Source organism: Homo sapiens, chromosome 15 (assembly GCF_000001405.40).
Source record: "Homo sapiens chromosome 15, GRCh38.p14 Primary Assembly".
Classification (NCBI taxonomy): domain Eukaryota; kingdom Metazoa; phylum Chordata; class Mammalia; order Primates; family Hominidae; genus Homo; species Homo sapiens.
The window spans coordinates 26,954,245-26,981,597 of record NC_000015.10 but is presented as its reverse complement, the minus strand read 5'-3'; the positions used below and the strand labels follow the sequence as shown (position 1 = coordinate 26,981,597).

Below are 27,353 nucleotides of genomic sequence, written 5' to 3'. Positions count from 1 at the left end.
ACTTTTTAATCTATCAATTGTCAATCTATTCAAATAATCAATAGAAAACTAGACAGAAAATAGGCAAGGATATAGAACTGGACAACACTATCAGACAACAGGATCCAGTCCATCCATTGATGACAGGATACATACTCTTTTCAAGACCGTGGAGCATTTGCCAAGATAGACCATATCCTGGATGGTAAATCAAACATTAACATATTTAAAAGAATTAAACTCATATAGAGTATATTCTCTGATCATAGTGGAATCAGGCTAGAAATCCGTAACATATAATAGGAATATGTGCAAGTACTTGGAAACTAAAAGCACACTCTCTTTTTTTGTACAGAAATGCTCACAGCAGTTTTATTCACAAAAGCCAAAATTTGGAAACAATTCCATTTCAAAACCTAAAACACAATGGTTAATCTCCCTCTTCAAGAGTAAAATTTGGGAATGTTTCTCAGTTGAAAAATCATGTCCTTGTTGGGATGAAAGTTCTCTATGAAACCAAGCTTGTTTTTTTAAAAAACTTTTATTTTAACTTCAGGGGTACATGTGCAGGTTTCTTATATAGATAAACTCATGTCATGGAAATTTGTTGTACAGATTATTTCATCACCCAGGTAATTAGCCTAGTATCCATTAGTTATATTTGCTGATCCTTTCCCTCCTCCCACCCTCCACCCTCAGATAGACCCCAGTGTCTGCTGTTCCCCTACAAAACAGGCTTCTAAATAATTCATGAGTTAAAGAAAAAAATCTCAAGGGAAATTAAAAAATACATTTAACTGAATGAAAATGAAAATACAACATACCAAAATTCATGGGATGAAATTAAAGAAGTACAAAAAGGAAAAGTTCTTACATAAGAAAAGAATAGTCTCAAATAAAAGAATCTAAGTTCTTTTTTTTTTTTTTTTTTTTTTTTGAGACAGAGGAGTCTTGCTCTGTGGCCCAGGCTGGAGTGCAGTGGCGCCATCTCAGCTCACTGCAACATCTGCCTCCCAGGTTCACGCCATTCTCCTGCCTCAGCCTCCTCAGTAGCTGGGATTACAGGCGCCCGCCACCACGCCTGGCTAATTTTTCTGTATTTTTTAGTAGAGACGGGATTTCACCGTGTTAGCCAGGATGGCCTTGATCTCCTGACCTCGTGATCCTCCTGCCTTAGCCTCCCAAAGTGCTGGGACTACAGGCATGAGCCACCGCACCCGGCCAAAAGAATCTAAGTTCTACTTCAAAAAGAAGAAAACCAAAATAAACCCAAAGCAAGAAAAATAAAGGAAATAATAAGTATAAAAGCAAAATTGATGTAATTGGGAACAAAAATAACAGAAAAACTATCATACAAAAAGTTGGTTCTTTAAAAAGGTCAATAAAATAAACCTCTAGCAAGACTGACAAAAAAAGGAAGATGACACAAGTTACCAGTATCAGAAATGAAGCAGGGATATTATTATAGGTCCTACAGACATCACAAAAGATTATGAGGGAATATCATGAACAATGCTAAACATATAAATTTGACAACTTTAAAGAAATGGACCAATTTCTTGAAAAAAACCACCACAACCCTAATATGAAAGTGATAATTTGAATAGACTTATTAAGGAAATGAAATAACTCCCAGAAAAGAAATCTCCTGGCCCAGAGGGTATCACTGGAGAATTCTATCAAACATTTAAAGAATTAACACAAACCCTTATATAATCTTTTCTAGAAAACAGAAGATGAGGGAGTACGTCCCAACCCATTGTATAAAGCTCATATTACCCAAGACTCAAAAAAATAGTCCCTTAAACATAGACATGCAAAAATCCTTAACAAAATATTAACAAACAGAATTCAGCAATATACAAAAGGAGGTATTATTAAACACCATGACTAAGTGGGATTTACTCCAGGAATGCAATACTGATTCAATATTTGAAAATCAATTAATATAATCCACCATATTGACAGACTAAAGAAAAAAATCATAAAATCATACCAATTGATGCAGTAAAAGGAAGTCTTTGGTGAAATTCAAAGCCCATTCATGATTTTTTTAAGTATCATGAAACTTTTTTTTAATGTATCAGAATACTAGGAATAGAGAGAACTTTCTCAACTGGATAAAGAACATGTACAAAATACCTCCAGCTAATATCATACTTTATGGGGAAAGACTGAAGGCTTTGCCCCTAAGATCTAGAACAAGGCAGAGATGTCCATTCACACCACTGCTGTTCAACACAGTGCTGGGAGTTCTAGCCAGTGCAACAGGCAAGAAAAAATAAATAAAAGATACTCAGATTGGAGAGCAAGAATGAACACTCTCCTTATTTGCAGATGACAATGATGGTGTACATAGAAAATGCCAAGGAACCTACAAAACAAACAAACAAAAAAAGTCCCAAACTTCTATAACTAATAAGTTCAGCAAGTCAGAGAACACATCAACATACCAAAATCAATTGTATTTATGTATATTAGAAATTAACACAGGCAAAATGAAATGTTAAAATACAGTACTATTCGCAATTGCTCCAAAAAACAAAATACTTAGTCATAAATCTAACAAAATACATTCAGGACATACCTCTTGAAAACTAGAAACCACTGATACAAGAACATAAAGAAGATCTAAATAATGAAGAGACCTATCATATGCATGGATTGGAAGATGCAACATAGTAGAGATGCCAGTTCTTTCCAGATTGATATCTACACTTAACAAACTCCTACCAAATCCCAGCAGGATTTTTCTGTAGTTACAGAGAAAACTATTCTAAAATGTATATTGAAAAGCATACGAACTATTAGAAGTTAAGATGAGCTAATGTTGAAAAGGAGGAATAAAGAGGTTGAATTACTTGATCCAATTTGAAGATTTATTATACAGCTATGGTAATAAAAATTGTGGGTATTGACAGAGTGACAGACACACAGATAAAACAGAGCGAAACAGAGAACCAGAAATAACCCACACCAGTCAAGCCAGCTGATTTTTGACAACTTCATAAAAGCAATTCAGTCAAGGAAGGATAGTCTCTCCAACAAATGGTGCTGGAGTAATTGGGCATCCATGGAGGGTGGGGAAAAGAAATTAGATCTAAATCTTACATATTTATTTTATATAAAAATCAAGACATAACAAATTAAAATGTAAAGGATGAAATTACAAAACTTTCAGAAGAACACAAAGGAGAAAATTTTCAAGAGCTAGGGCTTCATGCAGAATTCTTAGACAATACTCTAAAAGCATGCTCCATAAAAAAAAAATCAATAAATTGGATTTCATCAATATTAGAAACTTTTCCTCTGTGAAAGATGCTATTAAAAGGATGAAAAGCAAACTACATATTTGACATAAAGGATCATACCTAGGATATACAGAGAACTCTCAATTTCAGCAGTAAAAAAATAAAATAAGACCAAATAATCCAATTTTTAAAAGGGCAAATAACATGAAGGGACAATTCAATGAGAAGGCTATACTGATGGCAAAATAAATAAATAAATAAAATAAAAGAAGAGTTCAGTATCACTAACAATTAGGGAAATGTAAATTAAGACAACAATGAGGTATCAACCTATTAAATATATACCTATTAGAGCAGCTAAAATAAAAAATAGTGAAAATACCAGTTGCTGGTGAGGACACAAAGAAACTGGATCTCTCAGATATTGCTGGGGGAAACGAAAAATAGTGTATCCACTTTGGAAAACAGTTTGACGGTTCCTTAAGCAATTAAACATACTGCTGTCGCACAACCCAGCAATCGTACTCCTGGGTATTTATCCCAAAAATACAATCTTATGCTCACATAGAAACCTGTATATAAATGTGCTCAGTCATTTTATTTGCAATAGACAAAAACAGGAAACAATCAAAATGTTCCCCAACAGATGAATGGCTAAAGAAGCTGTGATACACTCATACCATGAACAACCATTCAGCAGTAAAAAAGAACAAACTACTGACACATGTAACAACTTGAATGAATCTCAAAATCATTTTGCTGAATAAAGAAAAGCCAGTCTCAAAAGGTCAATGATTCCATGTACGTGACATTCTCAAAATGACAAAAAAATAAATAAAAATAAAATAACAAATTGAACAAATTTGAGGCTGACAATGGTTAGAAATTTTGGGGGAAGGAAGCAGATGTGACAGTAAAGGGATAGCAAGAGGTGATACGAGATCCACTTTCGGTTGATGAAGGAGTTCTGTATCTTGACTGCAAGGATCATTACATAAGTCTACATGGGATAAAATGACACAGAGCCACGTTCCTGCATGGCACCAGTGTCAGTCTCCTGGTTTGGTATCACACTAAGTTATCTATTGTGTGACAAGTACAGGAAACCTTTCTGCACTATCTTTGCAATACTCTTGGAATTCACAATTACTCAAAAGTAAAAACTTCATATCACTACAGCATATTTTTCTATTAGAATAACAAAAAACAACACTCACTTCCAATATCTGGCCTCAGCTTTTTATCATATTCTCTTAGCAACTTGTTGAGAATAAGAGTCACGTCGGTGTCTTGGGATTTTGGAGCCAAGACCCACTTTTGGTTTGATGATGAATCTTCATATTCATCCTCTTCCACCTTTCTGGACCTGGAGTTACAGCACAAAAATGCGACATATAAGTGGCAGCAATGGCTCTAGGAAGAGCCTAAGTTTGTCCTATCCAAGTACCATGAAATGGGTAGAAAGTCCCCAGTACCCACAGCCCAACCACACACGTGAAAACCCGAAAATATTTTCTAAAAAGAAAGAAACACAAAATACGAATGATTCCATAGGAAGAATGCTACTGCTATTAACATGGTATGTTTTTATTAAATGCCAGAAGACCATCCCCCATCCCAGTTAAACTACAGACAACGTGGCAGGTAAACAACACCAGAGGGCCAACCAGCAGGCAACACACCCTTGGATCCACCCCGATAGCCTGTGAAGGTCAAGGCACAAACCTTCTAGAGGTTTTCTATATGGTGACTGCATCGTGGTGTTTCCACCCTGACCACCAAGACCTCATTTTCGTTGAAGGTGAGATTAGCTTTTGCAGAGTGGACTCATTCAAAATAGTTGAGTCTGACTCAGTGCTTCTCTTGGAGGCGGGAATCTGGGGGTCTAGGCACTTGAGCATTGTGAGGGGGTCTGCTTTGCCGGCACTCAGATTGGAGGCAAGGACAGCGATGTTCGCTGATGACTGGTGAAGACCCTCTAGCAATCTTGCACGCCTCGGTCAACACAAACTGATTCATCTCCTGCACAGCAGGCTAACACAGACATGAAGAACTAAGCTTTCTAATAAGTCTTCAACATTCTGACTTCTTAGTAAATGAGTCTCAGTGAATGCCTGGGCATCTCTGAGCTTGTTTTGTGCAGGGAGGAGCTGGACAGCCTCCTCTCCCGTGTGACACACACTGACAGGAGTGCCTGAATGGAGAGGCCTCAGGATGACCGGCTAGTTTTCCCTTTTTTTTTTTTTGGTTCTGCAGTTTTGGGTTTTTTAAAAAATGTTTGGTTTATAATTGGCACACACTTGTACTTGACAAGCTGGTTTTCTCAATGAGTGAGGCCGTCTCAACACCATAGTTATTTGGGCTTGGAGAGCAGACAGTCTCTTTCTGCCTTAAAGCAGCATTTCCAGGCAGACTACCATTGACCCCAGCAAGAAAGCATGTGAAACAAACCAAACTTTTCCTTTCTAGTTTGTCAGTGTGGATGCTTTAGTGACTTTTTCTTCACAGAAGAGAATAAAAAGAATTGAAAACTGCACGGAAGCGGATTTGTCCTGACTGTATATGAACTCTTTTCTGTTTAGCTTCCCAGATGGGAGCCAGAATGTTAGTGTCATGTCAGGACACTTGTGCTCTGGGATATAAGTTTCTGGAACTTAATTTTGAGAATTGTCTAAATTATCTATAATTAACAAGATGTTAATTTAAAAAATAAAATTTCATATTCATTTTTTCCACTTAATTTAGGTCTTCATATATATGCACATGCATATTTATGTAATATATACATGAGTCTTTTAAAGCGTGTTAACTAGCCATAACGTAGACTAGAGTGTTGGCCAGATAGTCTACACCTGTATGAACATGTACATAAATGAGAGATGTTGACAATGAGTATACGGCATATGTCTCAAAGAATGACTTCCCCACTTACGTTTTTCCTAGGCTGATCTTAAAGTATAACTCTATTTCTTGAGTACCTATTGGCTAGAAGGTTAAATTGAATCATCCATAGAAACTATAAATTGCTGTTGATTTTTATGCACATTGGATATTCACGATCGATAGGAATTTTTAAATGTGGGGCACCTATTCAGTAAGGAATATGTTGCATTTCATTATTTATTAAAGTGAACATTTACAAGTAATACTACAGAATTTTAAATGTTACTCTAAAATATTTCATGTCATCTGGCCGGGCATGGTTGTTCACGCCTGTAATCCCAACACTTTGGGAAGCCAAGGCGGGTGGGTCATCTGAGGTCAGGAGTTCCAGACCAGCCTGGCCAACAGGGTGAAACCCCGTCTCTACTAAAAATACAAAAAAAATTAGCGGGGCATGGTGGCACATGCCTGTAGTCCTGGCTATTCAGGAGGCTGAGGCAAGAGAATTGCTTGAACCCAGGAGGCAGAGGTTGCAGTGAGCCGAGATAGTGTCACTGCACTCCAGCCTGGGCAACAGAGCGAGACTCCATCTCAAATAATAATAATAATAATAATAATAATAATAATAATAATAATAATAAATTTAAAAAATATTTCGTGTCATCTGAAATATTATCAGAAATGTTAATTTTATCATCTTGCAAAAATTTTTTAAAACTTAAAGAGCAGGTTGAAGCATTTAGATAGCTGGGAATCAAGCACTGCCCACGGGACAGGGCAAATCACTCCACAGCAAGGGCATCTGGGGCAGTGAGGAGAGGCCGGTAGCTCATCTCAGCAGAATCAGGCACAACATGCTCAGGACACTTGGCGACTCAGCCCAGGTGCCTTCCTCCCTCCCTCTGCTGTCTCTGTCTTGGGCACTGTGAGGGGGTCTGCCTCACTCTTCTTCCCCTCCCCTCCCGTTCTCCTCCCCTCTCCTACCCCCACCACTACAGAGCCAGACCACAGCCTCCACCCTGTGTTATTGTCTATGGCCCTGATAATCACATACACACAAACCGAGCACAGTAACCAGCTTTTCATCATTCTCTATATACGCAGCCTTAGTTTTTAAAAATTACTTCCAGCTACTTACAGGTATTGTAATAAGCCTAATTCTCCCTCTAGTGGTGATGAGAGGGTTTTCCTGAAATTGCAAGCGCTTCCTCCTTAGAGGCCAGGACAGGTGGCAGTGAGGGGGACCAAGAAAAAGAAAGCAGGAACGTTCTCTTCCACCCCTTTGGGAGGCATATCAGGGCCCCAGCTGTGTAGCCTGGTTGGGTAGGCAGTGGGCAGAGTGAGGCCGAGATGCTCTAGGTCCCTGGGCAGTGAGCACCCTTCTCCCTCAAATCCTGAAAATGAAATAGAAGCCTCACATTGCTAGTGCCAGACCACCAGGCCCACAGGAAAATCCTTGCTTTGACAAAAATGAAATCTCATCTCAGGGGACCCATTAGAATGTGGATAATATAGAAATATTCTCTTTTCCCTAAATTCTAAGTAAGTTATATATAATCTTTATGAGCACTGTTACTTGCATTGTTGGATCCTAAACACCATTACTGAAATTAGCTTTTCCTTAAAAATAAATCAGTGATGTATTGTCATAGTCAAACAACAACTCAACCTTCAGATGTTATTTTCATGTCTTACACCTTAGCTTAAAGCGGAAGGACAGAGAAAAAGTCTGAAGTATTTTTAAGCATTAAAAGGAGTTCCTAAACCTCAGAAAGCAGTTAAGGCATCACCAAGGTCTGAGTGGGAATCAGTGCGTTTTATGATGCCCATGGGTGTCAAAATGGGGAGTCCCCCCTTCTGGGGAGCTGCTGAGCCATCACCACAAAGCACAGCCATCAGACCCTTATCCAAGGAACTTCCACAGCAGGAAGGGACTCAGAGTGCAAATGAGAAACCCCTCCAAATTTAAAACAGTTTTGAAAGATGACACTGCACATCAGATTATTTCACATGTCTGTAAAACCCATTCAGAGAACAAAGACACTCTCAAAGAAGAGGCATATAGCAATAAAGTTAGTATAAAATTTGGATTTTTTAACTGATCTGCAAGCTCTATTATGAAAGCTGGGGAACGAGCCCAAATAGAGAACAAATGAAAATCATTATGTCTGTCTTAGTAGAATGGAAGGATGAAGAATCCCAAGAGATTTTGTGTATATTTGGGAATCCCCAGTAACCGGACTGTTTTAAGGCAGAGGCTGAGGTATCTTCCTACTAAGCACATGCAGTAGTGAGGACAATAGGCAGTGTTTCTTCTAGAATGTTAAGAATCCAGAGACCTAAACAGTTGATTACTGAACCCTGAACGGCTGGTCACTCGTTTGAGTTGGTGGCAATAGAAAGGTGGCAGAGATGTGACTGCCGGCCTCAGCGTTATGCCCGGTGCTGTCTGCCTCCCTCTCCATCTCTAAACAGAGATACAACCAGGAAGAAGCAACCTCAGAAAGCATGTTTCCATTGCTTGCACCAGCTGCCTCTTGAGACAGAAAGAAACTTCAGCTGAAAGGCCCAAGGAGTGCTCTGTCTCTTTGAAAGAGTTGCCTGTGAGTCACCGGTGGAGTCGGCTTCCACACTCAACTCAGCAAAGAGGAGCAGTTGCAAGGGGGAGGGCCAGGGCTTCCTTCCTCAGGGTAAGCACCCCTGCCCAATTCAGGAGTGAGAACTGGGGGCCCCCTTCATGTTTAGTAGGATTTATTCATGTGTCTTCCTAGCTCCTTGGTAGTTCACAAATAGGAATGAAAAGGCAAGGCCTCCTGGCATTGCCTCCTGATGGTGGCCAGGCTTGTGCACGCAAGGATGCCCTCTGATTCTCTAGCTCCCAGACCCAGGAAATGGAGAAGCGTCAAAACAAGAGGGTTTGGGGGATAGGGGCACGCTGAGCTTCCTAGGGTGGGGAAAGAGGTAAAGGCCAGACACTGCTCCAATTTTCAAATAACAGGACAGTCTGCAAGCTCTAGCCAGAAATCCAGCCAGAGAGACAGAATTAAAGAAACTAAACCCAGAATCTCCAGTTGTGTTTACAGCAACAGGATTTAACCCTTTGGGTCCCACTGTCCTTGTATCCTCATGCGCCCTCTTCATCTCTTCTAGAGTGATTCTAAGCTCCCATTAGCCGGTTGGTGTACTGGGAGGAAGGTTGCGGAATTTATGGTGAGATGATTTCTTACATTACCAGGCAGAAGCCTTATTATCCATTTCGACATGCGTGCTTTATGGGGGTGGGAGTGCGTGTGTTCCTCTGTGTGAAAGTGGCTGATGTGGAAGGTGTGTGTGTGTGTTTGCAGGACCTGGGAGGGGAGTCCTCCCAGACAAGCAGGGCTTTCTTCTGCCCACCTGGTTCCAATCCCCCCGCGCCTGCCTCCAATGCATTAGCTCTTTCCAGCCCGGTCTAAACTAGGCAGTTAGAACCACGGTTCCCGGGTTCTTGGAAATTTCAGAGTGATGGAAATGACAGAGAATGTCAGCCAAAGTGTGTGTGTGTGTGAGCCCCTGAAACAGCTGAGGTGGGAATTAGGGGTCGGTAAGGAGCCAGAAATGGCCCCTGCCCCCTGAACCTGGTTCTCAAAACCCCTTAAAACCACCAGATCCTAAAAGCGTCAGGAGACGAGCCCATTAATCTGAGTCCCCACACTCCCGGCTGCAGAGGAAAAAGCAGATGACCGTGTCCAAGGGAGCTGGGACAGGTGAGGTGCAGACCGACTTCCCAGTCCCCTCCCGGCCCGCCGTGCCGCAGCCCAGCCGACGGCTGGCGCGCCAGGGACTCCAGCAGACAGCGCCCCCCGCCGCCCTGTCGCCCAGCTCGGGGCCTCCGGGGATGCGGCCCCCGCGCCACTTACCGCGCGTGCAAGCCCGAGAACAGGCAGAGGAGGAGCAGCAGCTTCGGGGCCATGGTGCCGTGGAGCTCGGGGCGCAGGGTCCGGGGCCTCGGCCGGGCGCGGCTTCCTCCGGCGCGGACCTGGTCTCCGCCGGCCCTCTTTGCCCTGGCTTCCTCCGAGGCTGCTGGCCGCGGCGGGCGGGACAGGTATCTACTCTGGCGCTGGCCGCGCCCCCGCGGGGCGCACACTGGACGCACACGGGACGCCGGGCCACCGCGGCGCGCCGCCCCCACCCGCGCACTAGCGCCGGTCCGCGCAACCGGGCGGCGGGAGCAATGGGCGCCGGGGACCCCCTGGCGCGGCGCCGCCCACCCCGCCTGGAGCCGCGAGCGGGCGCGGGTGCCCAGGCCGGGGCTGTGTGCGCTGTGCTGGGAGGTGGGGGCAGCTGGGCGGCTGTCCCCTGGCAGCGCCTCCGAGGCGGTCCCGGCGGGGAGGAGTTTCCCCAATTACACGCCTGACAACGCGCAGGGCGAGGAAGGCGAGGTTTGAATGGACTCGGAGTTTGAGGCCAGGAAGGGGGCGGAGCTCCGAGGGGGAGGGGAGGCTGGGGATCCCGCAGGGAGCCTGAAGAAAGGTCCCCGGGGTTGGCACCATGAGAGCGAGCCCGCGGTCCGCCTTCCTCCAGCCATTTCTACCCCAGTGCAGGTTTCCTCCAGCGCTCCCTGACCTCCCGTGCCCGCCGTCGCCCGGGGTTGAGACGGTTTGCCAAAAGCAGCCCTTCCATCGCACTCTTCGTGCTAAGTCGGCTGAACTCCTAGGCACTGATAAGATTCTGTGCTTGGAAAGGTGGCTTTCTGCGGGAATATTTGGGAAAAAAGCACCCCAGATTTATGCCTTTCTTACAGAAAAGAGAGACTAACACATAGCAATAAACAGTAGAGGTGGAAAGGCATGTTAAAGGTAGGAGCTAGAAAGATCCTAAGGCAAGAAGCCAAAGACGTTCCGTTTGGTGGAAGCATGAGGTGCGCCTCATTCCATGTATTTTCATATTCCAAAAACCGAAAATGGCATTTACGCTTTCATTTGTCATAATCATTCAGAAAGTTAGTCTTGCACCATGTAAGTATTGCAATCGCAACAGTGTAGTAAATCCACTAGGAATTTTACATTTCTATCACCCCCAAAAAGTTCTTAGAAAATGTTTTATAACTGCTATTCATAGAATTATGTAAGGGTGTGATAACTGTTTCTTTAATATTGTCAAATAGCTTTGTTCGGCCAGGCACAGTGGCCCAAGCCGGTAACCCCGGCACTTTGGGAGTCCGAGGCAGGCGGATCACTTGACCCCAGGAGTTCGAGACCAGCCTAGGCAATGTGCAAAAACCCTGTCTCTACAAAAAATAGTAAAGAATTAGCTGGGCATGGTGGCATGGGCCTGTATTCCTCTGGTGTGTTCCCCCTTGTTTCTGGATAGGCATGAAGTGGAGGGGAGTGCAGTTGTTAATGACAATATTGTTTTTCAACAATGGAGCTGTCATCTCCCTGGCATCACCTTTCTGTCTCTGTGAGGTGCTGAACTCACCCAGCTCCCCGCCTTTCCAGGACTCTTTCTGGCATTCTCATCCTCCTCTGCCCAGCACATCCCTCCTACTTAGGTGCACATGCCCTATAAGGTCCCCTCTTTGATGAAGACTCTGACGCTCCTGCATTCTTCCACTTCCAACACCTGTACCACTCCTTTAGGCTTCAGGGGAATATGAGCCTTTATCATACTCTGCCCTAATCTCTAATTTTCTGTACCAAAATCTGAGCACTTTAAAAATCAGTTAGATGATGATTTATTGTTCCTTCATTGCTTATGTCGTCTCCACATAAGAGACTTGAGTCTCACTCTATCGCCCAGGCTGGAGTGCAGTAGTGTCATCTGGACTCACTGCAATCTCCACCTCCCGGGTTCAAGTGATTCTCGTGCCTCATCCTCCTGAGTAGCTGGGATTACAGGCACCCACCACCACGCCTGGCTAATTTTTGTATTTTTAGTAAAGATGGGGTTTCACCATGTTGGCCAGGCTCTTCTGCAACTCCTGACTTCAAGTAATCTGCTCGCCTCGGCCTCCCAAAGTGCTGAGATTACAGGCATGAGCCACCACGCCTGAGTGTGCTGCAAGAATGCTGCAAGTAGAAACAATTCTTTTGTGTTTCCCTTCTTAACACAGTAATAGGAACATAAGTAAAAATAACCATCTGACATTGATCACATAACAGGGGCCAGGGCCGACAGGAAGGCTTTACATTGATTAACTCATTTTAACTCTCACAACATTATTTCCGTTTCGCATATAGAGAAAAAGCACAGAGAAGTTAAGTCGCTTACCCCAGGATCACACAGCTAGTAGGTGAGGACTGGGGGTTAAAAGCCAGGCAGCTGGCTCCAATGTTTCATTCCTAATCACTATACCATACTGTCTGCCTGAGTAGGTGCTCAGCTGACATTTGTTGTTGGGCTAGTTGATGAAAGTTTTGGACTTCTTACCATATTATTTATTTTTTGAGCATGAGTTAAAATACTCACAAGTTGTTTATAATAGAAATAGACTGTTACTTGAGTGATTTTGTAAAATATCAGTAAACAAGAAGTGTCCTGAGATTTGTTTGTTGTTATTATTTTTTTTACAATTCAATCAGTGAACAAGAAAACGCAATACTGTTTTTACATCCCTGTGTTCTTTATTCTTTTCCTTTCTTGCATATTTCAACGTGCTATTATGAATGAATGCAAGATGATCCCCTCTGGCCTTTGGAATGCTTCGCTTCATTTATTAGATTGAGTAGGTCAACTTGATACGTCTGAACATTTTCTCTTGGAAAGCCCCTCCCCTCTTCCTGGAACGAGATTTTGTTTTTTAAAGCTAAATGAGCTGAAAGGTTGGGGAAAAATCAAAGCAAGCTTTCTAGGCGTTAAGTGTGAAAGCAAAATGCAAGGTTAAGAATCTTCAAAGGGGCCGGGCGCGGTGGCTCACGCCTGTAATCCCAGCACTTTGGGAGGCCGAGGCGGGTGGATCATGAGGTCAGGAGATCGAGACCATCCTGGCTAACAAGGTGAAACCCCGTCTCTACTAAAAATACAAAAAATTAGCCGGGCGCGGTGGCGGGCGCCTGTAGTCCCAGCTACTCGGGAGGCTGAGGCAGGAGAATGGCGTGAACCCGGGAAGCGGAGCTTGCAGTGAGCCGAGATTGCGCCACTGCAGTCCGCAGTCCAGCCTGGGCGACAGAGCGAGACTCCGTCTCAAAAAAAAAAAAAAAAAAAAAAAAAGAATCTTCAAAGGAGAAGCCACAGGCTTTCATGTCTCTCCCTTGCCCCGGTTGACCTGCGGGGATGCTCTGCGGAGCATGCGCAGTGCGCACTCTCCAAGCCGCCTCAGCCTCTCCATTTTCAGCCCTGGAGAAGCGGGCGGGATTTACACTTTCTCCCCCTAGCTCGCGGGAATAGAAAGGGAAATAAAAAGTAAGTGAAAGCGAGCGCCACCAGAAGACTGGCTCTTAGTCCTAAGAGGTTAGGGTAACGAATCGGTTCTCACAACCGAAGCGCAGACGTGGCGGTAATGACGGAACAGCTCCAGCCTGGCGCGCTGCTTTGCTCCTGGCTTGGCGCTGGGTCCTCGGCTCCGGAGGTTCTGGGGAAGACCTGGGCTGCCCGCGCAGCTGCGGGTTGGACTTCACCTCGGCGGGGGCGGCGGGACCCTAGCAGCGTTGCCAGGAAGCGCCTTTCAGATCCCGCGGTGGCGCGCTGCGCCCCGCAGGCCGCGGAACCACCCCGCTGCCCACGCGCCCTTCAGCGCGCATCCGCTGCTCCGTGGTTGCCCCAGGTTCTGCTTTGAGAAACATCTCTCCCACTCCCAAAACTGTACTTCTGGGTTACATGATGTTTCGTGGTTTTATATTTTGAAAAAGCGCCTTTCCCTTGTCAATCAAAACGGTACTATCAAGGGATAATGCACACACAACAAAAATGCACCGATCTTAAAAGTATGGCTCAGTGAACTATTTCGCATGTGTATACCATATGTATATGAATAGCATATGTATAGCATCTGGATTATTATATATAACAAATATATAATTATGTAATTCCCAGTGGCTGGGCCATCTTCAAGTCAGTGCCGACACTGGGTAACCAACTATTCAGGCTTTGGCCACAGAAGCCTGGTTTTGCCCAGTCTTGCACCTCGCATACATGTGGTCATGCAGTATTATCCACTTAGCCTCCGGCTTCTCTCACTCAGTGCAGTGTCTGTGAGATGTACCCTTATTGCTACATTACCAGTCATTCATTACTTTTTACTGCTGTGCATGATAGTTCATTGTGTGAATACACCACACGTTATTTATTTGTTCCTATGCCAATGGATTTTTGGGTTTGAAACTTTGGGATGTTATGAATAAAGCTAACATGAATATTCTTGTCTTTTGATGGACATATGTGTTCATTTCTCTTGGTTATCTGACTGAAAATAGAATGTCCAGATCACAAGGAAGGCATGTGTTTCATGATTATAAATATTACTACAGAGATTTCTAAAGCAGTTATATTCATCACGCATTGGCAATATATGAGTTCTGGTGTATACCCTTGATGAAATGTGGCCTTGCCATTATTTTTGTCACCATTCTGATATTTCTTTTTTTTTTTTTTCTATTAGACGGAGTCTCGCTCTGTCACCAGGCTGGAGTGCAGTGGCGCGATCCCGGCTCACTGCAACCTCTGCCTCCCGGGTTCGAGCAATCCTCCTGCCTCAGCCTCCCGAGTAGCTGTGACTACAGGCGCACATCACCACACCCAGCTAATTTTTTTGTATTTTTAATAGAGACGGGGTTTCATCATATTGGCCAGGATGGTCTTGATCTCTTGACCTCCGTGATCCACCACCTCGGCCCTCCCAAAGTGCTGGGATTACAGGCATGAGCCACCGCGCCTGGCCTGCCATTCTGGTATTTCATTCTGGTTTTGATTTCATAGAACTTCTTTCAAATTTTTACCAGCCATTGGAATATCTTCTTTTATGAAGTGTCATTTAAGTCTTTTGCCCATTTTAAAACTAGACTGTTGGCTTTCTTTTTATTTGTAGAAGCTCTTTTGTGTTTTCATATTTTTTTGTTTACCATTACATCTATTGCTTTAATAAATACCACCAATATTATACAAATATATGATTTACAATATCCCTATTATAGCAAAGAATAGAGTCATAAAATAAAATGTCTTTTAGGCATTTATTATGCCACGCATGCAAATTATTGTTCTCATTATGACATAAGAATAATACTCTTTTGGTGACAAAAGATATATTGTATTAGCTCAAAGTCCACTGAAGAGCTTCCAGGAAGTTCTAAATTAAAATCTGGCCATGTTTTCTATACAATAAACAGAACAGCAACAACCTCTGCTATCCCTTAAGCATAAACTATCCCTTTACATAAACTTAAGTAAATGGCTTGTTACGAATAAAAATAAATAACATTTTAGAAACTAGTTAACATCACTGGCCCAAATGTGGTTTTTACTTTCTTGCGTATGTCTAAGAAATGTCAACGTGAAGTATATATTAAAAATTAACAATAATTTCTAAGGTATACATGAGCCAAGCTGCTCACTCTTACTGTGGAAGCAAAACTTACTTCGGAAAGTAATATACAGAAGTAATATGTAAACATATAGAGCTTGAGATAGACTAAGAACATCCTTCTGTGTTCTATGGACCAAAATACAAAGGTCTCCATTACATATGTAAATGAACACACTTTCATTAGTTTGGGATATATTGATATGACATGACTGTGTGCATATTTTATGTACACCATAAAACAAATGTTGACAATGTCTTCAGTGACAACATGCATTCTAGCCCCAACTACTGGAAAGGATATAAAAACTTAATAAGAAAACTACTTTGCTTTGCTTTAACTAAAGATTTTAAGTGAAAAACAAAGCCAACATTCCTTGTTGCATCATGGACCGAGGTCTAAAATGTTCAGAGTCAACAATCTCTGTTTGCTCCCCACTGTAACAAAGCACATAAGCATTCTCTCTCTGTTCACAAAGTCTGATCATCCTCAGTGTTTTGTCTTAAAAACTGCTTTCCAAGTATGAGGGACCCATGCTGGTTACATTCTTTCCGTTGCCTATTTACACCTGATGTAGCCATATAGGTTGGCACCTTGTAGCACCACACTCATGATAACCACTGCTAACCACTTTACCCTGAAGGAGATGAGGCCACTAAAGATAAATATCACCCACAGCACTGGACAGGCATTAAGTCCCAACCAAAAGATTTGATTCAGCCTCTGAGACAGTTTTGTCCTCCCGAGAGGATGCCTTTCTGGACTCAAGCACCCAATGGCTCTTTCCATCTTCATCATGTGATTCCAACACCGTAGACCCACCACTAGTCTACCTGTGACATTCGTCACTGCCCTAAAGTCACATGACAAGATAGTTGTCACCATACAAGCAGTAAAGCTGCTGCTGACCAATTTGCAAAGAAGGTAGACCACAATTGCACAGACTTGAAAGAATAGCTGGAAACGTGAGGCCACTGGATATCTGATTTTGGATTGTTTTGTTTTGTTATTGTCTCTTCCACATCCAACACTGAAATGTCTTCAGTGTCATCATTACTGTACTGATGCAACATGGTAGCCCTGTGCCGGCCCCCTAATATCACATTTAAAAAATTACTATGGCCTTTCATTTTCTTAATATCTATTATTGTTAGTGCTCTGAATTTGTTCATTTATTTGTTTACTTATTGCTGTTCTAGGTTGTTTGCATCTCCGTATACATCAGCTTTTAAATTTTCCCCCAATTTTTAAAACTGTTCTCTTGGAAGTATTCACAAGTTTACAAATAAATGTGTAAAAATAATACTATAAGTTTCTATAATATTATCTAATCTACAGTACATAGACTAATTTTTCTAACTGATCTAATAATACCTTCAATAGCATTTTTCCCATATAGCCCAGGAACCCATTCAGGATCACACATTTCACTAGTTATTGTGTCCACTTGGTCTGTTTTTAGTCCAGAACAGGTTGTGGCCATTCTTGATCTTTCACAACACAGTAGTTTCAGTAGACAAAAGTATTTTGTAGAATGTACCTCTGTGTGAGTCTTTCTCATGATCAGATTCAGGTTATGTATTTTGGGAAGAAATATGACATAAGTAATGTTGCTTTTCTTGATGCGTTATTGTAGGAAACACACGATGTTGGTTTATCTCATTGTGGATCACACTGATCACTTAGTCAAGCTGTTATCTGCCAGGTTTCTCCACTTTAAAGTTCCTTCTTTTTCTTTCTGAATGGCTGACTGTTCTTTGGGGGAAATTATTTGAAAATGTTTAACTACCTTAGTTTTAACATGCATTGATGATTCTTGCTTGCTGCTTGTAAAATGGTGATTTTCTAACTTTACTGTTCTTCTACATTTATTAGTTGGTATTATAGGAAGCACTCCTCCTCTTTTTCTAGTGTTACTTTCTGTAGAGACTCATGGTTTCTTGTTTTATTTAATGCACTTTGATCCATTACTGTCATTATTTATTGTTGTTCTCAAATCATCCAAGATTTTGACAATAGGAACCTCTTCAAGCTGACTCCTGTATTTAGCATGCCCCCAATATTTATTGTTTGAGATTTGTCTCAATTCTTTTATCTTTAAAAAAATTTAAAATTTTCCCCAGGTGTATTGAGGTATAAGAGACAAATCATACAGTACGTATTGCAGGCATACAAGGGGATGATTCGATACAGGTATACATTGGGAAGTGGTTCCCATATAAACCAGTTAGCAGAGCCTTCACCTCACATAGTTACCTTTCTTTCCCCGCTTACTTTCTGAAGCAACAGGATTGCCACTCATATTTTCTTTTTCCCTACCCTTGAATTCAAAATTTCCCCTTGGTTCCTTTTAATAGAGAATGGTATTTGGAAAACAAATCTAGTTGCTCTGAAGTATTCTTGCTTTCAGACCTTTTAGAGGACAGAATGCATAATGTCATATATTATGATATAATAATACTATTTAATCACACACTAGAATTAATGAGGATGTACTTATGTCACCCATAAAATCCTTCCTTGTCTTTGAACTTTCCCTATTTGTAACTCCTTCCATAAGATTCCCAATTTTCAACAAAATTAATATATTTTTTAATTTGCTCAACGTGCAATATACACGATATAGTTTCAGAATTACAGTAACCATGCTACAATGAAAAGAAGACCCCTAGGTTGAGTTCAGAATGTGTTTTCAGATGTTTCTGCTCTCCCCCTTTAAGCTAAGAATACAAGAGAGTAATCAAAATGCTATGCTCAAAAGTTATTTGATTTACTTTTTTTTCTCCAGTGCGGTTATGTTATTAATTTAAAGTGGAGCTGAGTTCATTAGTTTCTATTTGTATTACACTCTAGGGCTTTTCCTCATTATTATGGATTTAATTCTATTTTTGAATATGTGAAATTTTAACATGATCCCAAAAATCCACACTATACAAAATGAAACAAGACATATCAAGAGAAGTGCCATCCCACCCCATTGTTTCTACTTGTTTCTGCCACACAGATACACAGACACCTCCTCTACATAATACATTTCATGAATTTCTGCTTTATTTTTTTCTTTCTCCAAAAATAAACAGAAAAATAACTATTTTCTAATTCTACTTCCTTTCTGACATCAAACATCACACGCTATATAAAACTTTTGCATTCTGATTCTTTAACTTCTTCAGTATTGTACCTTGGAAATACACCAGTTAATGCAGCTCTTACTTATCCTTTTTACATAGCTGCATAGTATTCTATTGCATGTAAATATCATAATGTTTAAATTAATGTACTTTGTTGGGGTATTTTCATAGTTCCCAATATTTTGCAAATACATATAATACTGAATCATATAACTTTGTGCATGCCAATTTTTATGCTGTTGAAGGTGTATTTTCAGGGTAAATTTCCAGAAGTCAGATTTCTAGGTCAAAGGGTACATGTGTAATTTTATCATATATTGTCAAATTTCCTTCTCATAGGGAAGTTTTCTCCATTTCTCATTCCCACTATCAATGAAAGAAGACACCTATTTTTCAATAGTCTTGTCAGTAGTGAATTTTCAAATTTGCTAGATTTTACCAAGCTAAGGGGTAAAAAGTGATATCACAACACAGTTCTAATTTGTGTTTTGTTAATTATGAGTATATTGAACATTTAAAAACATTTAGGACCAGCTGGGCGTGGTGGCTCATGCCCGTAATCCCAGCACTTTCAGAGGCTGAGGCAGGCGGATCATGAGGTCAGGAGTTCAAGACCAGCCTGGCCAACGTGGTAAAACCCCATCTGTACTAAAAATACAAAAATTAGCTGGGCGTGGTGGTGGGCGCCTGTAATCCCAGCTACTCAGGAGGCTGAGGCAAGAGAATCATTTGAACCTGGGAGGTGGAGGTTGCAGTGAGCTATGATTGTGCCATTGCACTCCAGCCTGGGCAACAGGGTGAGACTCCGTCTCAAAAAAAAAAAAAAAGAAAAGAAAAGAAAAAGAAATATTTAGGACCATCTTGTATTTTAGCAAATTATCTTTTTTGTCCTTTGCACAATTTTCTATCAAATTTTTTCATATTTTGTCCTCAAATTTTACATGTTACAGGCATTTTTCTGTGGCATAACTTGCAAATAATTTCTTCCCATTTATCCGTTGTCTTTTGATTTTGGTTATACTTTACTGATCATGAAATTTTTACACCTGTTTCTCTAGTCAAATTTATCAATATTTTTTGCATCTGGATTTGGGGAAATAATTAGAACCTTTCCCGATAACTTTCACCCAAGTTATAAAAGGGTTTGCTTATGAATTATTCTGGTATCTCTATGATTTCATCTTCTACACTTACATCTCTGATCCATTTGAATCACAATCTTAAGTAATATGTAAAGTATTGATGTAATTTAAATACTTTCCATCTAACCATCCAGGTCTTCCCATACTACTTATTCAAAAGTTCAACTTTGTCACACTAATTTGAAATACCATAATTATCATATGCTAAGTTTCCATGTATACCTGGATCTATTTTTGTATTTCTTTTCAATAGCTAATTAATGAGTAATCTGCTTGTACCACTGTGTTAATTATAAAGATTTTGTGTGTGTTTTAATATCTGGTTGGCCTACGGCTAGCAGTTCATCTTATTCAGTATTTTCTTGTATTCTTGCATATTTTTTCTTCCAAATTAACTTTAATCTCAACATATATAGCTTCAGAAAAAAAATTCATATTTTATTGGGGTTCTATTACATGGATAAGTTAACCGAGGGAGAATCTGCATCTTTATAATATTGAGTTATCCTACACAATAACAATGATTACATTTTCTGTTTGTTCATAAGTACTTCTCATAGGGTTTTCATACTTCTTACTAAGTTCATTTGTGAGAATATTATCTATCTTTTTGATACTATTTTAAATGGTATTTTCTCTTCCAGTGTCCTCTGATTGCTTACTAATCATGAATATAAGCATTTCTATTATTTTATGTAATTTTTATATCCTCCTTGCTTTCTGAATTCTCTTAATATTGTGTTAGTTTTATCACTGGTTCTCCAGTGTTTTCCAGTTTTACTATCATATTATCTGCAAGCAGAAATAGATGTACTTCATCATACCCAATTTTCATGCCCCTAATAAATGTCTTGTGTCTAACTGCAGTGGCTAATGCCTTCTGTAAAAATGATAAAGGCAGGAGATAATAGGCACACTCTTCCTATTCCAGATCATCCTGGAAAGGTCTCTTGTGGAGGCAGACAGACTGACAGAAGGAGAAAACAGAGGAGATGCCCATACCTTACTATTTTCAGGGTTTTTATAAAAAAATCAAGAATGGGTGTTGAAACTTGTCAGACCCAATGGGGAGCATCAATGGAGAGAAATATTTCTTCTCCACAGTAAATTATATTATTGAATTTCTTTCTAATGAATCATTCTTCTACTCCTAAAACTAAATTTGTAAGTTTTCCTTAATTTTGTAGGTTTTGGAAAAATTTATTTGGCATCAGACTGGCATGATCTTTATATGTTTGGTAGAATTTCCCTGTAAAGGCACCTGGGCCCTTTGTCTCTCTCTCTTTCTCTCTCTCTCTCTCTGTGTGTGTGCGTGCGTGCATGCGTGCGTGTGTGTGTGTGTGTGTGTGTGTGTGTGTGTTGGCGAGTAAAAGTTCCTTGGTAATTTTCTCTTTTTTCCATAGCAAATGGCCCCCTTAAGCATTCTATCTATAATGGGGTCAATTTCAGTAGTAAAATATATTTCCCCAAGAAATTCTCCAATATGTATATGTTCTAAATTTTTTGAATAAAGGTGGGTAAGTCATCTGTTATGACTTTTATTTTTACTGTGTCATTTCTTATTTTATTTATATTCCCCATTTTTTCTTAAATGGTTTGTGTATTTCATTTTATTAATCACTAGAGTTTTGATTCATTCATTACATCTCTTGTTTTTATATTATCTATCTGATCAAATTCTGCTTTTATCTTTATTTTATTTACTTTATGCTTTCTTTTGGTTTATTTCTAGTTTTTGAGTGGGAAGTTAGTTCATTTTCTTATATTTTTTATTGATATTGATATATGCTTAACAATATGAATGTTCTTCTAATATGCTTTAAAAGTATCTCATAAACTTTTAAAATCAAGTATTATTCTTTTTTAGTTTATAATTCCACTTTTTAAAAATTGAGAAATAATAATTGGACATATATTTAGGATAAAATGTGATGTTCCATTTGTATACGCATTGTAAAAAGGTTGAATCAAGCTCATTAGCCTATCTACTACCTCACCTGCTGATCATGTTTTGCAGTAAGAACATTTAAAAACTATTTTAGCAGTTTTAAAATAGTCAATACATTATTATTAACTATGGTCACCATGCTGTGCAATAGATCACTAAAACTTTATTTCTCCTCTCCGAAACTTTGCACCCTTTGATGAACATCTCCCCCTTCCCTACCCTCACCCCTACCCTCTCGTAATGGCCGTTCTACTCTCAGCTTCTATGAATTTGTCTCTTTTAGGTTCCATATATAAGTGAAAACAAGCAGTATTTGCCTTTCTCCACCTGGCTTACTTTAGTTAACATAATGTCCTTTAGGTTCATTCATGTTGTTGCAAATGACAGAGCTTCCTTCTTTTAAAGACTGTGTAGTATTCCACTATGTATATAGACAACATTTTTCAATCCATTTATCCACTAATGGACACTTAGGTTGCATTCATTTTTTGGCTATTGAAATAATTATGCAGTGAACATGGAAGTGCAGCGAGCTCTTTGACAGACTGATTTCAGTTTCTTTGCATATATACCCAGAAGTAAGATTGCTGGATGGTATTGTAATTTTATTTTTAGTTTTTTGAGGAGCTTCCATACTGTTTTCCCAAAATAGCTGTACTAAGTAACATTACTACCCACAGTGTACCAGGGTTCCCTTTTCTCCACATCCTAACACTTGTTATCTTTTGTCTTTTTGATAATACTCATTCTAACAGGTATAAATGATATCTTGTTGTTTTAATTTGAATTTCCTTGATAATGAGAGATGTTGAGCATTTTTTTCATGTATCTGTTGCTCATTTGTGTGTCTTCTTTTGAGAAATGTCTGTTCAAGTCCTTTGTTGATTTTTTAATCAGGTTATTTGTTTTCTTGCTATCGAAGTGTTTGAGTTCCTTATATATTTTCAATATTAACTCCTATAGAAAATATTTGAGGTGGGTGTGGTGGCTGAGGCCTGTAATGCTGGGAAGGCTTCCAAGGTGGGTGAATCACTTGAAGCCAGGAGTTCAAGACCAGCCTGGCCAACATGGTGAAACCCCATCTCTACTAAAAATATAAAAATTAGCCAGGTGTGGTGGCGTGCACCTATAGTCCCGGCTACTTGGGAGGCTGAGGCAGGAGAATGGCTTGAACCAGGGAGGCAGAGGTTGCAGTGAGCCGAAACTATGCCACTGCATTCCAGCCTGGGTGACAGAGCAAGACTCTGTCTCAAAAAAAAAAAAAAAAAAAAAAAAAGAAAGAAAGAAAATATTTTATTTGCAAATATTTTCTCCCAGTCCATATGTTTTATCTTTACTCTGCTAGTTTTTTCCTTTGCTGTGCAGAGGCTTTTTAGTATGATACAATCCCATTTGTCTATTTTTGCTTTTCATTGCCTGTGCTTTGGGGTCCTATCCAAAAAATTATTGCCCAGACCAATGTCACAGAGCAATTCCCTTAAATTTTCTTGTACTGTATACAATGAAGGCCATATATGACAAGCCCATAGCTAACATCATACTCAATAGTGAAAAGTTCAAAGCTTTTCCTCTAAGTTCATAAATAAGATGCGGATGCTCACTCTTATCACCTCTATTCAGTATAATTCCGGAAGTTCTAGCCATAGCAATTAAGCAAGTAAAGGCATCCAAAAAGTAAAAGAAGAAATAAAATTGTCTTTTTTATTAAAGATTTTCTATGTAGAAAACCCAAAAGACTCCACCAAAAGGTGTTAGAACTGATAAATAAATTCAGGGAAGTTACAGGATACAAAATCAACATAAAAAATCAGTAGCATATCTATACACTAACAACAGACTATCCTAAAATAATTAATGAAACAATCCCATTTACAGTGCCATCATAAAATAAAATAAAATAAAATACTTAGGAGTAAATTTAATCAAAGAGGTGAATGATCTGTATACTGAAATCTATAAAACATTAATGAAAGAAATTATGAATAACACAAATAAAAGGAAAGATGTCCTATGTCCATGGATTGGAGGAATTAATATTATTTAGATCTCCATACTACCCAAAGCCATCAAAGATTCAATGCAATCCCTATCAAAATTCCAATGATTTTTTTATAGAAATAGAAAACAATTCTAAAATTTTTATGGAAACACAACAGATCCCGCATAATCAAAGGAATCTTGAACAAAAAGAATGAAGCTGGAGGCATCATATTACCTGATTTCAAAATACATTGCAAGACTACAGTAATTTAAGCAGTATGGCACTCACATAAGAACAGATACATAGACCAGTGGCTAGAGATAGAGATAGAGAGCCCAAGAATATACTCACACAAGTAGAGTCAATAAATTTTCCATGAAGATATCAAGAACACACAATGAGGAAAGGACAGTCTCTGCAATATATTGTGTTGGAAAAACTAGAAGCCACATGTAGAGGAATGAAATTGGGCTCTTATTTCACACTATGCACAAAAATCAACTCAAAGTAGATGAAAGACTTAAAAGTAAGACCTGAAACTATAAAACCATTAAAAGAAAATATAGGGGAAAACTTTTGCTACATTAGTCTGAGCAATGATTTCTTGTATGTCATAAATTTTTATGTGTAATTTTAAATTAAATTTGACTTTTAGAAATTTTATGACATTTTAAAATCTTTATTTTCATCCTTTTGTTATTAAATAGAAGAAATTTTAAATTTCTAGTTGGAAGATACTTTTTTAAAAAGCTGTTTTCATTTGCAATATTATTACTTATGACCAAAGTGTTATTTTATAACATTTTTATATTATTGGCCTGCATGGTGGCTTATGCCTGTTATCAAGCACTTTGGGAGGCTGAGGTGGGTGGATCGCTTGAGGCCAGGAATTTGAGACCAGCCTGGGCAATGTAGTAAAACCCTGTCTCTACCAAAATACAAAAACTGGCCAGTTTCATGACCTGGTCTCAAAAAATATACATATATATAATGTCTATATTATGAATGTACCAATATTTTTAATATTGATATATGACCCAGCATGTGATTAATTTTGTAGATTTTTCATGTGTACTTGAGAATGATAAATGCTTGAGGTGATGGATGCCCCGCCCCATTTACTCTTAAATGATTACTATGCACTGAATGCCTGTATCAAAATATCTCCTATACCCCATAAATATATACACACACTATGCCTAATACCAATACAAATGTGAAAGATAAAATAGGAATGGGGCATGGTAGAATTTAAGACTAATTCATTGGAAAATAAAGTGCATGTTTCCTACAATGACCCAATTAAAATTGGTCTAACAGAGGCATTGCAAACTCAAAGGCCTACAGGGTGAGGCAGGCTTCACACTGGAGATGACTAAAGTATGGATTGGATGAGAACTATATGATGGATTCCTTGCTAAAGGCAGGATGAGCACAGGTTCTAATTTGCTCAAGAGCATTTTAATTTATGCCTGTTGTTCTGATGTAATTATTATCGTTATGATTCTTAAAAGTGTCCTGGTTTGAAAAATAGATTCCTAATTTAATTCCATTGTTTTTTGAGAACATACTTTGTATGATCTCAATCTCTTTAAAATTATTAAGACTTGGTTGGGCACAGTGGCTTATGCCTTTAATCCTAGCACTTTGGGAAGCTGAGGCAGGTGGATTTCTTGAGCTCAGGAGTTCAAGACCAGACTGAGCAATATAGTGAGACCCTGTCTCTACAAAAATAAAAATTAAAAAATCAGCTGGGTGTGGTGGTGCATGCCTGTAGTCACTTGAGCCTGGGAGGTCAAGGCTGCAGTAAGCCCTGATCATGCCACTGCACTCCAGCCTGGGTGACAGAGAACAACCCTGACTCAAAAAAAATAAAAATAAAAATAAAATTATTAAGCCTTGTATTATTGCATAAAAAAATGCTCTATTCTGGAGAATGGCCTTGAAAAGGATATGTATTCTGCTGCTGTTGGGTGCAGTGTTCCTTAGATGTCAGCAGATCAAGTTGGTTGATAGTGTTGTTCTGGCCTTCTACATCCTGGCTGATTCTGCATCTTGTTGTCCTACCAACTATTAAGAGTGGAGAATGAAGTTTCCAACTACTATTGTTGTACTGTTTATTTCCCCTTTGAATTCCATCAGTTTTTGCTTCATATATTTTGGGCTCTGTTGTTAGGTACACAGATACATATCTGTTTTTAATTGTTATATATTCCAGATAAATTAACTGTTCTACCATTATAAAATGTCCTTCTTTGTCTCTAGTAATATTATCTGTATTAAAGTAATTTTTTCTGATATTGGTATAGTCCTTCTAGCAGTCTTTCAGTTACTGTCTGCATAGTATATCTTTTCCATCCTTTTACTTTCCATTTATTTGTGTCTTTGAATCTAGAACATACCTCTTATTGAAACTATATGGTTATGTCCTTTTTAATTAATCCAGTCTGACATTCTCTGCCTTTTGATTGGACTGTGTAATGCATTTTCATTTAATTATTGATGTGGTTGAATTTATAGCTGATATTTTGCTCTTTGTTTTCTTTTGTGTTATTTTCTAGTACACTATTTTAATTTCTTTGGATTGTTCACTACCTTTTCTTTTACTTATTTTTTGTGGCTGCTCTGGGGATTAAATATGCATCCTACCTTAAAACAATTTAGTGCTGATTATTACTAACTTAATTTCAAAAGTATATAGAAATTTCCTTCCAACATCATGACTTGTCCTTCTCCAAGGTGATAGTATTGTTATACAAATTATGCTTATAAACTCAACAATATAGCTTCATAATTATTGTTTCATACAATTGTCTTTTAAATTGGTTGAAAGAAGAAAAGAGTAAAAACTTTATTTACATTTTATATTTACCCATGTAATTTCCTTTATGGTGATCTTCCTTTCCTTGTGTGAGTTCAAGTTAACATTGATTTATCATTCCTATATACCTTAAAAGACTTCCTTTGGTATTTCTTGTAGAGTAGGGCTGCTATAAATGTATTGTCTCCATTTTTATTTACCTGGGCATGTCTTTATTTCACTTGCCGTTTTGAAGGGTAATTTTGCTCAATATAGAAGTTTTGGTTGATGGTGGGGGGTTCCCTGCTTTGTTTCAGCACTTTGAATATGTTGTCTCACTGCCTTCTGGCCTCCATGGTTTTTTATGAGAAGTCAGCTGTCATTCTTATTGAGGATCCTTGTATATGATGAGTCTCTTCTCTCTTGCTTTCAAGATTCTCCCTCTGTCTTTGGCTTTCAACAGAACAATTACGTTGTGTCCAGGTGTGTATCTCTTTAAGCTTACTATATTAAGACTTAGTTGAGCCTCTTAGAAGTGTAAATTAATGCTTTTAATAAATTATGGGAAGTTCAACCATTATTTCTTATTATTATATATTATATTCTTTCTTCTTATTATTATTAAATAGCTGATTTAAAGTCTATTTACTAAATCCAACTTCTGGGCACCTTGAGGGCCAGTATCTTTTGATGGTTTTGTTTCTTGTATACAGGCTGCACATCGCAATTTCTTTGCATGCC

At 39.3% G+C, this 27,353-nt stretch overlaps 1 protein-coding gene and 1 pseudogene across 2 annotated transcripts in view; both read right to left on the bottom strand.

The window, feature by feature from the left end:
• The window catches only part of GABRG3 (gamma-aminobutyric acid type A receptor subunit gamma3), a 570,804-nt gene extending 560,387 nt beyond the window's left edge, over positions 1-10,417 (bottom strand). For both annotated transcript variants that reach the window (NM_033223.5, NM_001270873.2), the window contains exons 1-2: positions 10,010-10,417; positions 4,448-4,596 (exon numbers count right to left, since the gene is read on the bottom strand). In NM_033223.5, coding sequence (NP_150092.2) covers positions 4,448-4,596; positions 10,010-10,062 — 202 coding nt within the window. In that variant the 5' untranslated portion in view covers positions 10,063-10,417. The remainder of the gene's footprint in view (positions 1-4,447; positions 4,597-10,009) is intronic.
• Positions 16,236-16,702, bottom strand: TVP23BP1 (TVP23B pseudogene 1; annotated as a pseudogene).